Source organism: Homo sapiens, chromosome 7 (genome assembly GCF_000001405.40).
Source record: "Homo sapiens chromosome 7, GRCh38.p14 Primary Assembly".
Taxonomy (NCBI): Eukaryota; Metazoa; Chordata; class Mammalia; order Primates; family Hominidae; genus Homo; species Homo sapiens.
Genome location: NC_000007.14, coordinates 139727626 through 139742067, shown reverse-complemented (window position 1 = coordinate 139742067; position 14442 = coordinate 139727626). Strand labels below are relative to the sequence as shown.

General features: G+C 44.7%; 1 protein-coding gene across 12 annotated transcripts in view; it reads left to right on the top strand.

Moving 5' to 3' along the window:
• Positions 1 to 14442, top strand: part of HIPK2 (homeodomain interacting protein kinase 2) — a 216429-nt gene that overhangs the window by 35931 nt on the left and 166056 nt on the right. For 4 of the 12 annotated variants that reach the window (XM_011516080.4, XM_011516079.4, XM_011516078.4 and 1 more), the window contains exon 1: positions 433 to 2026. The exons of 4 other annotated variants lie outside the window; for them this stretch is intronic. In XM_011516080.4, coding sequence (XP_011514382.1) covers positions 1471 to 2026 — 556 coding nt within the window. In that variant the 5' untranslated portion in view covers positions 433 to 1470. 4 more of the 12 variants (XM_047420261.1, XM_047420263.1, XM_047420264.1 and 1 more) reach the window with 3 other exon arrangements.

Below are 14442 nucleotides of genomic sequence, written 5' to 3'. Positions count from 1 at the left end.
GGGTCATACTGACATGTGTTTGAATTCAGGTCCTCTGATTTTACGAGCTCATGACCTTGGGGGAGCGAATCCTGCCAGTCTCTCTGGATCTCTTTCTTCTGTAAGGTGAGGATGATAATAATGACCTCCCAGGGTTGCCGTGAGGCTTAGATGAGAGAGTGTATGTAAAGATCAAGTTCACGTTCTTATCTTTGTTTTCTCTGACATTTTTCATCATACCAGGTTCTGTGCCACTTATCTATGATTTCAAAAGACGAACCATATTACAAACAACAAAACGTGAATGGTGGTGATCATACTGAGTATTTATTGAATAGTGACTGAGAAAATGAATGCACAGGAGACAGGAGGAGTTACCTGTGAAAATTCAGAGCTATACTGAACTGATCAACGTTCACGGAATTGGAGAAATAACAAAGGTGGGACAGGCTAGAGTGTGGAGATTAATGGGGGCTGAGGGAACAGGCTGTGCACTGGTAGGACATATTCAGGATCTCAAGCTACCTGCCTGCCACTTCTGCATCCCCACCGCGTCAAACTGTGGTTGAGCTTTCTTTATTAAATATGTAGCAGTTTGCTTTTGAAATACAATATCTTCAAAAACAAAAATAATGCCAGGCCTGCCAACAAAGTTTGTCCCGAGGGGGCAAAGGTGAAGGACAAGTGAAATGTTGCAAGAGGACAGGACGATACGAAGGATGGGGTCCAGAGTGAAAGAAGAGGCCTATGAGGCTCAGCACAGTGACTCTAAGATGAAACCGAGTGTCTCCCCAGGGCGCACACATGGATGAAAAGTGAAGGGAATGAAAGAGAGAGCCAGCCATTCCAGGACTTCTGCTCTTCTCTGCAGAAATCCTCCTTTCCTCACCAACTCTTCACCAACCCCCAAGCTTGCTTAACTAGCTTTGGAATTTGTACTTTGTATTTTTGAGATAGAGTCTCACCCAGGCTGGAGTGCAGTGGCGCGATCTCAGCTCACTGCAGCCTCTGCCTCCAGGGTTCAAGCAGTTCTCCTGCCTCAGCCTCCTGAGTAGCTGGGACGACAGGCACCTGCCACCATGTCCGGCTAATTTTCGTATTTTTAGTAGAGGTGGGGTTTCACCATGTTGGCCAGGCTGGTCTTGAACTCCTGACCTCAAGTGATCCGCCCATCTCAGCCTCTCAAAGTGCTGGGATTATAGGCATGAGCCACCGCGCCTGGCCGGAATTTGTACTTTTGCCTGGTAATTTAGTCCAGTGCCCAAACATGAAGTGTGAGTGTTTGTTTACTGCCAGCTTGGAGGGGACACATGCCTGATACTGACTCACCAGTTGCATTGGTGGTGGACTTGGCTCCTTCCCTGGGCTTCAGCCCATGTGTGCACCAGTCTGATCCCTTGCTCTGAAATATATTAGGACTAACAGGTGTGCAGGCCTCGAAGGACCCGTCTCTTTTGATATCTTCCTTGTCTAGTTGCTCTCTGATTTCTCATGGTCCTCACTCCCTCCGGGTCTTCTCCCTGCCAGTTTCTGAGCAGGCACTTTCCGGAGCACAGTGTGTGGATGACAGCAAATAAGTCCTCCGAGGCTTTGACCAGGAGCACAGACAGCTTTGCCCTGGTGAGGGACGGTAGAGAGAGCACCAGTTTGCGTCCTGCTGCAGCTGCACTTTGCACAGAGCGCCTCTTCATCTGGCAAGCAAGCATGCATTGTGCCAACCCTCGTCTGCCATGCCAGGTGCTGGCTCTTTCTCCGGGGCGATACCAGGCTAAGCATGCTGCTGGCACTGAGCGAGTCACAGCTTCTCTAATTTATTTACCTCAAATCAAACAAACCCTGACTCCTGCTTTGAATTTAGGCTGGTATTTTACCGAAGGACAGAAGGGCAGCATCTCTGCAGAAGGGCCTTCTGTGCGCTTTGCCTGGGACCTCTGGGGGACTTTGCATGACTCCTGGGGACTTCAGGAGGCCACTTTGGAAAACAAGTGTCAGGTCCTCAAAAGGTTAAACATAGAGTCGCCACCTGACCTGGCAGTTCCACTCCCAGGTATGTACCCGAGAGGAATAAAAACACGTGTCCACATGGTTGCATCGCAGCGAAAAGGAGAAGCAGCCCAAATGTCCATAAGCTGACAAGTGGATACACAAAGTGTGCAGTAATAGTCCACTGAATATTATTTGGCAATAAAAGGGAATGGAATGTTGATACATGCTACCACATGAGTAAACCTTGAAAATTTTATGTTAAGCAAAAGAAGCCAGATGGACATATACATATTGTGTGATACCATTTATATGAAATGTCTAGAACAGGCAAGTCCGCAGAGATAGAAAGTAGAGATTCATGGTTTCCAGGGGCTGTGGGAAGGGGGAATGGGGAGTGACTGCTAATGGGTATGGGGTTTCTGATAATCAGAGTGATGATAATATTTTGAAATTAGATAGCAGTGATGGTCACACAATTGTGTTCAAAACCACTGAACTATACCTTTTTTTTTTTTTTGGAGAGGGTCTCACTCTGTCACCCAGGCTGGAGTGCAGCAGTACAATCTTGGCTCACCGCAACCTCCGCCTCCAGGGTTCAAGCAATTCTCCTGCCTCAGCCTCCCGAGTAGCTGGGATTACAGGCATGTGCCACCACACCCTGCTATTTTTTGTATTTTTAGTAGAGATGAGGTTTTGTCATGTTGGCCAGGCTGGTCTTGAACTCCTGGCCTCATGTGATCTGCCCACCTCAGCCTCCCAAAATGCGGGATTACAGGCATGAGCCACTGCACCTGGCCTGAACTGTACATTTTTAAAATGTGAACTTTATGGTATGTGAGTTGTTATGTCCATAAAGCTGTTACTTTAAAAATTGCCCTGCTGGGGATGGTGGCATATACCTGTGGTCCCAGCAAATAGAGAGGCTAAGGCAAGGAGGATCATTTGATCCCAGGAGTTTGAGCCTGGACAACATAGTGAAACCCTGTTTCAAAAACAAAACTTGCCCGAAACTTACCTTTGTAGCCAAGTCCTTCATGGACAGGCTAGAGGTCAGATGGAAAGAAGTCAGAAAATTTATCTTGGGCGAGGGCATTTATTCTGCCACTGTGGGAGAAGCACTGTGCCATGGGTGTGGAGGAGCAGTGTTCAGAGAGGAGTGTCCTGTGGCCTCCACAATATTCATTCAAAATTTGCCAATGTCTTGGACATCCTGGGTTCCATTCCCTGCCCGGAAATGAGTTCCTCTTTTTGCCTGGTAGATTTCAGTGATTAATAAATAAATGTTCATCCTTATACATTTAAAAACATTTTATTTGGAAATAGTTTCCAAGTTACTAAAAAATTGCAAAAATAAAAATAGTACAAAGACTACCCCTATACCCAGATTCCCCTCCCCTATACCCCATATCCAGATTTTCCTGTTATCACTTCACCCCATTTGTTTTGTCATGCCCTTGAATGTGCTGTCTCTCACTGTTGCTCTTTTGGTTGTTGTGTGTGTGCCTGTGGTGTGTTTGTATATACAGACACACGAATGATCGTTATATGACTCGAGGGTAAGTTACAAATATCATGGTGCTTTATTCCGGCACCATCCAGAATGGTAGCTACTAGCCACAAGTAGCTATTTAAATTAAAACTAAACAAAACTTTACATTCAGTTCCTCAGTCACACCAGCCACATTTTCAAGGGCTGCATAGACACATGTGTGGCTGCATCAGACAATAGAGACTACAGAACCTCTTCAGCAGCACACAGAGCTCCTCTGGACAGCTCCGCGTTACCCCCGATGCTTCAGCGTGTGTTTCCCAAGAATAGGGCGCTCTCATACATGGTACAGAGATCAACTGAAGAGAATGTAACACTGATACAATATTTTTATCTGAGCCACTGTTTACATTCCAGTTTTGTCAGTTGACCCGGTGGAGTTCTCATTCCTTTTAGAATGGAGGTCTTGGGTCTTGTTTGTGAGCCCAGATCTGCTGGTCTGTACTCAGGGAACATGTATAAAACAGGACTGCTAAGTCTTGAATTGAGCCTGTGCCTTTCCTATGCCCTTTCTTTCCATAAACTCGAATCCTTTCTCTAACTCATGTGCAGATGGATCGGGTCTGGGCCCTGGAGCCCAGGTTGAATTTCCTTAGCTCAGAATTGTTTTAATGCTTTTGTCACTGGTTGAATAACTCAAGGTGCAGCTTCCTCCTGTGCTGACATTTGGTCTGTGAGCAGGTGTGGCTCTGCTCTTAAATCAGCAGAAAAGATTTCCTGTGAGTAAAAGGAAATTGGCCTTCCCAGCAACCGCACTGTTTTTCTTTTTTCTAATCACTTTCCCCAAATTTTAGCTTGCAACTAAGAAAAGGCTCATTTTGTTCTTTGTTTCTTATTTTATGGCTTAGTCGTGACCCTGTAGCTCTGAATCACTTCATGCGGCCCAGGACCAATGGGGCACTGGGGAGCTTCCGGCCCCAAACTCCTGGTGTAGCAGAGGCCGGATGTGCAGGGCCCTTGGCAGCTCATTTTCCTGCAGTCCAGGAGAAAGGTGGGCTTCTAGCGATTTTCAGCCATGGTTTGGGTGAAAAGCTGGGGTAATGAGCAAATTGCAGTGATTTTTATTCTTTCACTAACTGGTGTTAGAGCTTATCCTCCAGGGGATTTCTGGTGACTTAATGGGATTTCATGGCATGAGTAGGTATGGAAAACAGATTCCTGGGTCACTGACTTCACTTCCATAGACATTCCCCATCCCTTAATAATTCTTAGGATTTTGTGGGTGTAAAAGCTGGGAAACAAGAAATCAACGGGCTTATTATTCTTGTATCCTTTCCTATATTTCAAGTTGCCCCTTAGAATGTATCCTCATACGTCCTCCCACCTTTTTGTTTGGATTCAGCAAGTCTTAGAAGAGAAGAATCTTTAGCAAGGTAAGACCTCGGTAGGAATACTATATGAGCCATGTAGTTTGAGCCAGGATGGAAAAGGGAAATGAATTCATGCAGAGAGAGTGGAAATGGAGCTGATAGCTTCATTTTCTGCTTAACTAAAACGGAATGAAAAGGGCTTGGCTGGCAAGGTCAGGACCACAAGGCGAGCTGCTGAGAGCCGTATGGTGCAAGATGGCAACAGAGTTTCTACCCCTTGACCACCTTTTGAGAACTGACAGGGAAGACTCTTAGCGCTGGGCCTGTGTGGCTTGTTTGGAGGAGTAAATTGAGTATACTTGATGCTAGTGAAAGAACCAGAGAGCTTCCCTGCATCCAGCCGTTGGAAGGAAAACATACATTCGGACATTCTCTGTTAATATCTTATGCGTAACATGAGGCACCCTAGTTGGGTAAATGGCTTTGATTGGCCTTTGTGGTTCCGCAAGGGTTGCTGTGTTTTGTAGGATTGTAGTTCCTGTTGTACTCCATAGCTCCAGCGTAGGCATTAAGTTTTTATGTTATTCGATAGCATCCTCCCAGCTTCAACAAAGGGTATTGGCCCAGGACAGTAACTCCTAGGAGTGCCTGAGAGCTGATTTTGTTTCAGGTCAGCTCTGGCCTTGGAGATGCCCTCCCTGGGAATCAGGGCAGAGCAGAGGGCATCTGTGCCAGGAGGGTGTGCTCTCCGCGTCCTGCTGTGGGAGTTCCCTCAGGGAAGCACCTTGGCCACCCTGACACTGGTGTGTGCGAGCCCCTTCTGGAAACAGAGTTGCAGTGCCCTGGTGAATGCTTCTTCAGGGCATTGGCCCCTCTGTCTACCAGGTCATGCCTTCCTCTGCCACTTGAAGTCAGCAAGGACGCCAAAGGGGACCAGCCTTCCCTTCATTCTCCTGTCACCTGATCCTGTGGCTTCCACATTATCGTGGTTCCTTTCCTACCTGTCAGTGCCAGGGTCTTTGGGTCATCCCTCTAGTTTGTTGTCTGCACCTTCCCTGCAGGTTCCTATCGCCTCTCAGATGCGCCTTCATGGTGGGTGCCAAGCCCCTGGCCACATGCTTTCATTTCCCACTCAGAAGTGGTACCATTCCTCCCTCCCCTCTCAGCCACCTCCTGTGACTCCTCAACAGAACAAAATCGAAACTAGGCACCAAAGACCTGCCACGCTGACTCCAGCCTTTCCAGACCCTTTTGTCACTCACTGCAATGCAGAGCCCTCAACCACAGGCATGGTTTTATTCTTCCTGATGTTCCCTTAGATGGGTTTGGTCCTGTTTTATCTTATTTTCATATTGTGCTTTGTATTGTATCTGCACACTATCCCAGGTCCTGTAGGCAGTGGATGGCTTATGAATCTTAAATAAAAATGGGTCTCATCTGTCCCTGGAACCCAGTGCTCACTGGCCTCTGTGTTTCAGCTCACCCCTGGCTTCGCCTTGGGGTGCACTCTCGTGTGTAAAGGGGTCGCTGACTCTGAGAGCACTCCATCCACTCTCTGAAGCCTGCACCGTTCAATGGGCAACAGTTGCGACTTCCTTCTGTGGTCAGTTATCTCTTCTCCCCTTGGCCCATCTCGTCCTGTTGACCTGAAAAACAGGTAGCCCTTTCTTTCACAATGCCAGTGGTCACCTGCCACTCTTGGGGTGGTGCTTGGACATCGTAGGTGCTCAGCAGATATTCCTGGATGCTGCTCACTCTGTCCTCTACAGTCCTCAGCCTAGCAGATTTGGAAATTTGACTCCATAAATTTAAGGATTATTGGGTTCTAAAAGACTGGTTCATACTAACTAATTCTATAAAAGGCTGATGGATCAATCTGAATCATTTAAAGAGAGATAATCCTAGCATCCAGAGAAGCTAGGCCTACATATCAAGGTATTTTCTCCTTGGTCAGAAGGTCCTCTCTGGAATCCCAGTAAGAGATGAGAAAGTTGCTTATTTAGCACAGAATTTAAGCAAAAGGCTTAAGTCGTCATGTACTTCTAAATGTATTTATAAATCATGAAAACATTCTCTGCTCATGGGATACTTCTCTTAAAGAACCTGCATGGGATATCTAGAATCAAATATTCCCTTCCCCCCTCGACAGTGAAAAACCTATGACTTACTTCTAGACTTCACTAAGATTAGTGTCAATTATCTTTGTAACATCATCTCTCTTTATTTAGGTATGACATATCATAGTTATACCAAGTTGGTAGATATTCTCATTAATTACATTTTACGTCATTTTGGAGTCACAAATCATACGGCTTGTCAAATCCTGGTTTTGTAATTTTTGAGGGTTCCTTCATTTAGGATCTGCAGATCTCTATTTATAAATTAGTACAGCATAACACTCCTATGAGGGAAATGATAAATGTGTGTGCCTTGATTCTAGAAATCACAATCTAAAACACCATACAAGTTAGGAGTCCACAGTAGTGTGTATTTGGCCATTAATGAATCAGTGGTCCCCTGGGTGTGTGAGCCATGCTATTTTTAAAACCATTGCTGACTTCAGTGATAAAGAGAGTACAGAATGTGCCTTCCCAGGCTTGTGAGCTTACCATGAATAATACCCATGGTTATCATGATGTCAGAACTTAAATATTCTTTACCAAGAGCACAACCGTGGCGTCATGGAGCATGGGAATGCATTTAGGGGGCAGGGTGTGGAAAGTCCATTTTTCCCAGAGAAAACATCAGCCCAGGGTAAAAGCTGATTCTCCCATGGGGGCACTTAGGCCTGTATGCAGCAGTGCCAGACTCCTGTAGGGCATCTTCCAATTTTAGTCACCAGAGAGTGATTTGCGTCAAAGTTTGCAAACCAAACCAGAGCATTTGTCACTGAAGATCCCGTGCCTTCCACTTGTTCAGAAAAGTTATTAGGTGGGGGATTAGTACGTGCACACTTGAAATCACTAACACTGGTGGTGATGAGAGTAGTTTCATCATTTGACACATTGATCTCCTGAAGCATTCTCCTGGGGAATGGAAGTGATGCTAAAACATGGAAGAAAGGGACTGAACTATTTCGGAATTTTAACGTTGTCTTTAAAAACGTGTGCTCTGGTTTTGCTAGGTGAGCATGCTGTGCCTCACAATAGAATTACACTAAACCACGTTAATTGTGACTCATTAGGGATGGCAGCATTAACGAATATTCCAGCACTGGTTAGGATGGCCTAAGTTGTACAGCAGTAACAAACAACAGAGGTTTGCTTCACACTTGCGCCACATCTTGGGTCAGCTGGGGTCTCTGCTCTTTGTTACCCTCTTTCACTGACCAGGCAAAGGAGCTGCTCCTCCCCAGACCATGGTTGGTTACCGTAATATAAGGGAAAGAGGAGTCACACACTGGCCGGAAAGGCTTTTGCCTGAGAATGCTACTTCTTGCGTACTTCTTATTGTCCAAGGTGGATCATTTGGCCAAGACTAATTCTAAGTTACATGGCTTAGCTTACCTGAATTACAGCACAGCTTTTCAAAGTAATGGGTGCAAGACAACGTATTAGGATACAGAAGAAAATTTGAATATGTATATTTTATCTCACTTTATCCTTTAAATTTTTCTATATTTGTGTTTTTGGTTAACAATACTGTATTGGAAAGTAAAACATAGATTATTTTTAATTATAAAAATCACATATATCAGGAGTGTTCTCTTTTCCCCTGATTAAGTGCTTAATCAAAAAAGTTGAGATCATTGTTTATACAGTAGATACAAATCTGCAATAAGCATATTGTACATAGAAACTGGGTCTCAGTTATGACCAAGGATAGTGCTTTTGGTTAAAATGTTACATGGAAAAGAGATGCAGAAGCTTTGAAAGTAAATTCTATTCTGTGTTAGCTAGGCCTCTGGGAGCTAGCTGACCACCCTCCCCTCAGTTTTCACTAAACGCTTGTTTAGGACTGTATTAGTCCATTCTTGCATTGCTATAAAGAAATACCTGAGTCTGGGTAATTTATAAAGAAAAGAGGTTTAATTGGCTTCTGGTTCTGCAGGCTGTACAAGAAGCATGATGCTAGCATCTGCTCAGTTTCTGGGGAGGCCTCAGGAAACTTACAGTCATGGTGGAAGGTGAAGGAGGAGCCAGCCTTTCACATGGCCAGAGCAGGAGCAAGAGAGAGTGAGGGGGGAGGTGCCACACACTTTTAAGCCACCAGATCTCACAAGAAAACTCACTCCCGTTGCAAGGACAGTACCAAGATGAATGGTGCTAAACCATTCTTGAGAAACCACCCGCATGATCCAGTCACCTCCCACCAGGCCCCACCTCCAACACTGGGGATTACAATTTAAGATTTGGGTGGGGACACTGATCCAAACCATATCAGGGACTCACTATTTTATACACACACACACACACACACACACATATATATATAATATGTTATATATATTATATGTTATATAATGTCATATATAATATATGTTATATATAGTTATATATATATATGTTCATTTACTCCTCACAAGGACCCTATGAAATATGATTACTGTCTCCACTTTAGAGATGAGGGGATTGAGGCAGAAAGGGGTTAAGTAACTTGCTGAGATCACAGAGCTAGAAAGGGCAGCACTGGCATCTGACCTAGTTGTTGAGAATGCAGAAACAATCTGAAAATTAGCTCTTGGAATACAGACCCCTATGAAGATAGGGATGGCCTACATCACCAAATGCCATCCTGTCTGTTTTAAAGCAAGACATAGGAGAGCTATCAGACATCTTAGATGTACGTGGGGAAGGCGCCCCGCTACAAGAACCAGTATTATCTGAGTGGGCACCTCCTCCCAGCACTGGGTGTAAGTGGCTCCGTGCCATGGAGTTGTTGGGTAATAACGCCAGGACTGGCTTGATGACAGTGACTCACAGTAGAAAAATGTCCTTGCAACAGACCAAAGAACCCACTTTAATTTGCACAGCTTAGAATGGGCCACTGGTTGCCCTGCCAAGGGATCCCTGTACCAGCTGATTTTCATATCCACAAACACACACACAAAAGCACCTATTTAAATATTGCAAATAATACCACATTGCATTTTTATTATGCTTTATAGTTTACAAAGCACATTACAATGCTACTTTATTATTCTTAGTGTGCTCCAATATAATTTCACTTGCCTTCTCTTTTCTCACCTTTTTCTCATCTTTAGTTTCTTTTTCCTTTTCCTCTCAGCATCCGTGCCAACTTTCCCCACACTCCAGCTTTCTTCCTTTCGTTTCTTCCTGCTCTTCCCTCTCCCTGCGAGTTGTGGAGGTGGTACCTTTCCCGAAGTGATCCCTAATTGAGTTTAGTCAGGTGTCAGTTAAAGGCAACTGAGGGGAATGAAACAATTCTCCAAGGAACAAAACAGTTGTAACATGGAGCTCCTGTTGTAAATAGCAGTTGCTATTTAAATCAAGTAAGAAGGATGGATTATTGTGCTTTAAGAAGGGGATGAAATGAATCCTGTATTTAAAGAGAGCCTGGGGGAAAGGGTTATCTGCATCTCACATCCCCGGCATCACTGTGTCTGCAAAACATCTTTCACAAAGTTTTCTTTGCAGTTAGAGAACAGCCTGTGAGAGAAATGCTCAAAGAAATACATAAACATGAGTACAAGGGGTGTGCAAACAGGTGTTGCACTGAGCGCAGAACCCATTTGGCGGCCCTTTGTCCTGGTTCCTTTGTATAACTCAGCAAGAAGTTGAGGTTTAGAAAAGGCAGGTTTGAGGAAGTGCCGTCTGTGGCCTCTTAACTGTGGACGTCACTGATGAGAACAGATCGAACTTTAGATGCCTTCCTTAGAAATTTTGTTGTTTTGAAGTCAAACCTCAATCACAATGAACAAATATATTTGCATAAGGAGAGGAGGTGTATAGTGCCCTGGCAGGAATTAAGACTAAAACGTGGGAGTAAAGCTGTAGATGCTTCTGTTGCTTTTTAACCAAGAGGCCACAGACACAGGCCGGGAGGCTGAGAGGGCAACCTGCCATTTGGCCAGCGTCACTTTGCGATTGTTATAAATACTTTATCATAGCTTGAGTACAGACATGCCTTTTCAATGAAATACATCCTGACTTATTTTGCAGAGGGTACTAGTTTCATAGGGTGACTGTAACAAATTAACACAAACTATTAATAGGTGGCCTAAAACAACAGAAATGTCTTCTCTCACAGTTTTGGAGGAGTTGGCAGGGCCACGTTCCCTCGAAGACTCCAGGTAAATCCCCTTCTTGCCTTCTCTCGGCTTCTGATGGCTCCCAACAATGCTGGGCATCCCTTGGGTTACAGCTGCATTGCTCCAGTCTCTGCCTCTGTCGATGTGTGGCCCGCACTCTGTGTGTATGTCTGTGTCTCCTCTTACAAGGACACCAGTCATATGGGATTACGGCTCACCTTAATGAATTTATTGTAACTTGATTACCTCTGAAAAGACCCCATTTCCAAAAAAGATCACATTCACAGGTACTGGGGGTTAGGACTTAACATATCTTTTGGGAGGACACATAGTAATAGAATCTACACAGTTTTTAGTTTAAATGAAAATTAGGGCCAGGTGCGATGGCTCATGCCTATAATCCTAGCACTTTGGGAAGCCAAGGCAGGTGGATCACCAGAGGTCAGGAGTTTGAGACCAGCCTGGCCAACATGGTGAAACCCCATCTCTACTAAAAATACAAAAATTAGCCGGGCATGTTGGCTCATGCCTGTAATCCCCACTACTCGGGAGGCTGAGGCAGGAGAATTGCTTGAACCTGGGAGGTGGAGGTTGCAGTGAGCCGAGATCTCACCACTGCACTCCAGCCTGGGCGACAGAGTGAGACTTTGTCTCCAAAAAAAAAAAAAGAGAGAAAAAATTGCAGTGACATGGTAACAAGAACACCAAAATGGGAAAGAATAGAGTAGATTTCCAGTTCTGATTCTGTGTGCCACAAACATTTCTGAAGTAGAACCTGAGGTAGCTCAAAAAGGCACCTCAGCTGTGGACTGGGCCGGAAATGGGTGTTTGGCTAGTAAAACGCATCATTTTACTTTACCAACATAGTACCAGACATTTAAGGCTAACAAATTCACTCTTGCTCAGAAGAGAAAAAGCCTACCAGATTTTTAGTCTTGATTTAGACTTTACCAAACATTTCTAAAGGATAGGAAAAGTCCATCTGAGGCTTACCTTCCGTTGCCAGGCACACACCTGGCCTCCTCAGTATCTGCTGCAGGTCTGGTTTACTTGTCTCTTGAGGTGGTCAGTGAGGATTTTGAACCAGTAGTGAATGGAGGGACATTGGTATGTCATGTTAGGAAGTGGCTGAAAAATTCAGGGAAGGTGCTTTCTTTCGTAAAGGTTTGTGATTCAAACACCTGAAAACTGGTACTGCTGAAACTTTAACCGTCCTTATTTAGAACATTTCAGGGACAAGGTAAGCAGCCTTCTAGATCTTTGAAAAAATGTGGATTTAAATGGAATTCCTCTGGGTTGAAACCAGAAGTACAGCTGATTTTGTTTTCATAGTTTGTGGGTGTTTGCCTTTTTCATCCCACCACGTTTATTTAAAAGGTTGTCTTCTTGAGATCCTCCATTGGAAAGAAAATGCAGTGTTGAAAAACAGAACAATGTGGATGGCAGGTGAGAGAGGGCACACGAGGAAGAACCAAGCCGGGGCTCCTCCTCGATGCTGAGGGGCATGAAGAGGGGTGGCCTGAACTTGGCCGCCCACTGCCAGCCACTCTTGAGGTGGCTTTTGGGGCCTACTTAGGTTCTGCCTCAGACACACACAGAATCAAAACTGGAAACCTAGTTTTTGTGTTATTAATAAGCCACTCCCAATTCTCTCTCTCTCTCTCTCTCTCTCTCTCTCTCTCTCTCTCTCTCTCTCTCTCTCTCTCTCAGAGACAGGGTCTACTCTGTCACCCAGGCTGGAATGCAGTGTTGCAATCACAGCTTGCTGCAACCTCTACCTCCCAGCTTCAAGTGATCCTCCCACCTCAGCCTCCCGAATAGCTGGGACTATGGGTGTGCACCACCACACCTGGCTAATTTTTTTTGTTTTTTGTAGAGACAGGATTTCACCATGTTGCCCAGGTTGGTCTTGAACTTCTGGGCTCAAGCAGTCCACCCATCGCGGCCTCCCAAAGCATTGGAATTACAGGTGTGAGCCACTGAACCTGGCTCCAATTCTCTTTTATACCAAAGTGACTACAGTTGCTCCTCAGTAGATTGAGAGATACATTCCTATATGGCCTTTTTCAGAAGCGTTGTAACATCAACTCATGCAGAGCTTAATTTAAAGTAGATAGTATGCTTTTACTTGTTTCCAGCTATGATATTAGACTAATTGAAATGAACTTATAGGTCCTTTAAGGTAAGATATAGAGAAAGCACAAAGTGAAATGTCTTATCTCCAAGAAGGGAAAACCGAAGAGACTTCTTTTGGAATATGGTAATTATTTAACCTGAGAAAATTATACTTTAGTAAAATGCTTTTGGTTTCCTTAAAACTATTGTTATGGGTTGAATTGTGTTTCCCCCCTGCCAAATTCATATCTTAAATTCCTAACCTTCCATATCTCAGAATGTGACTTTATTTGGAGGTAGGGACTTTATAGAAGGAATCAGGTTAAAGTGAGGTCATCAGGGTGGGCCCTAACCCAATACAACTGATGTCCTTATTAAAAGGGAAATTTGGACACAGATACACACAGAGGGAAGATGATGTGAAGAGACACACAGAGAAGACAGTCATCAGTGAGCCAAGGAGGGAGGCCTAGAACAGACCCTTCCCTTCCAGCCCTCAGAAGGAACCAGCCCTGCTGACACCTTGGTCTTGGACTCCAGCTTCTTGAACTGTGAGACAGCGTCTGCTGTTTAGGCTGCCCAGTCAGTGGTGCTTTGGTACCCCAACCCTGGCAGATTCATATGCTATGTTTAGAAAGTGGTGTTTTGTGTTTTTCTAAATAAGGTTCTTAACCCAGCCAGGCACAGTGGCTCACACCTGTAATCCCAGCACCTTGAGAGTGTGAGGCAGGAGGATCGCTTGAGCCCAGGAGTTCGAGACCAGCCTGGACAACATAGGGAGACCCCGTCTCTATAAAAAAATAAAAATAAATTAGGCAGGCATGATGGCGCACACCTGTAATCCCAGCTACTTGGGAGACTGAGGTGGGAGGATCTCTTGAGCCCAGAAAGTTGAGCCTACAATGAGCTATGATTGCACCACTCTACTCCAGCCTGGGTGACAGTGAGACCCTGTCTCAAAAAAAAAAAAAAAAAAAAAAAATTAGCCAATGCCACTCTTGTTTCAAAAAGGATTCTTTGAATTGTTTTATTTTCTTTTCATTGATCCCATCAGTTTCCTGGAGAAAGAAGCTGAAAAAGCGTTTGTGTCTTATCAGTGTTTGCTTCAGCACTGGATTGGATTGGGAATTTTCAGATTGCTTATGAGCTCTTGACACCATGTCCTGTAGATAAACAATTATGGGTTGTCTGTACTCACCCACTGCAGGGCAAGGCTGGCTCACCCACAGTGGTTGATGGCTTCATTCAAAGCAGTATAGCAGAGTTACCAAAAGGAGTTATTTGGGGCCAAG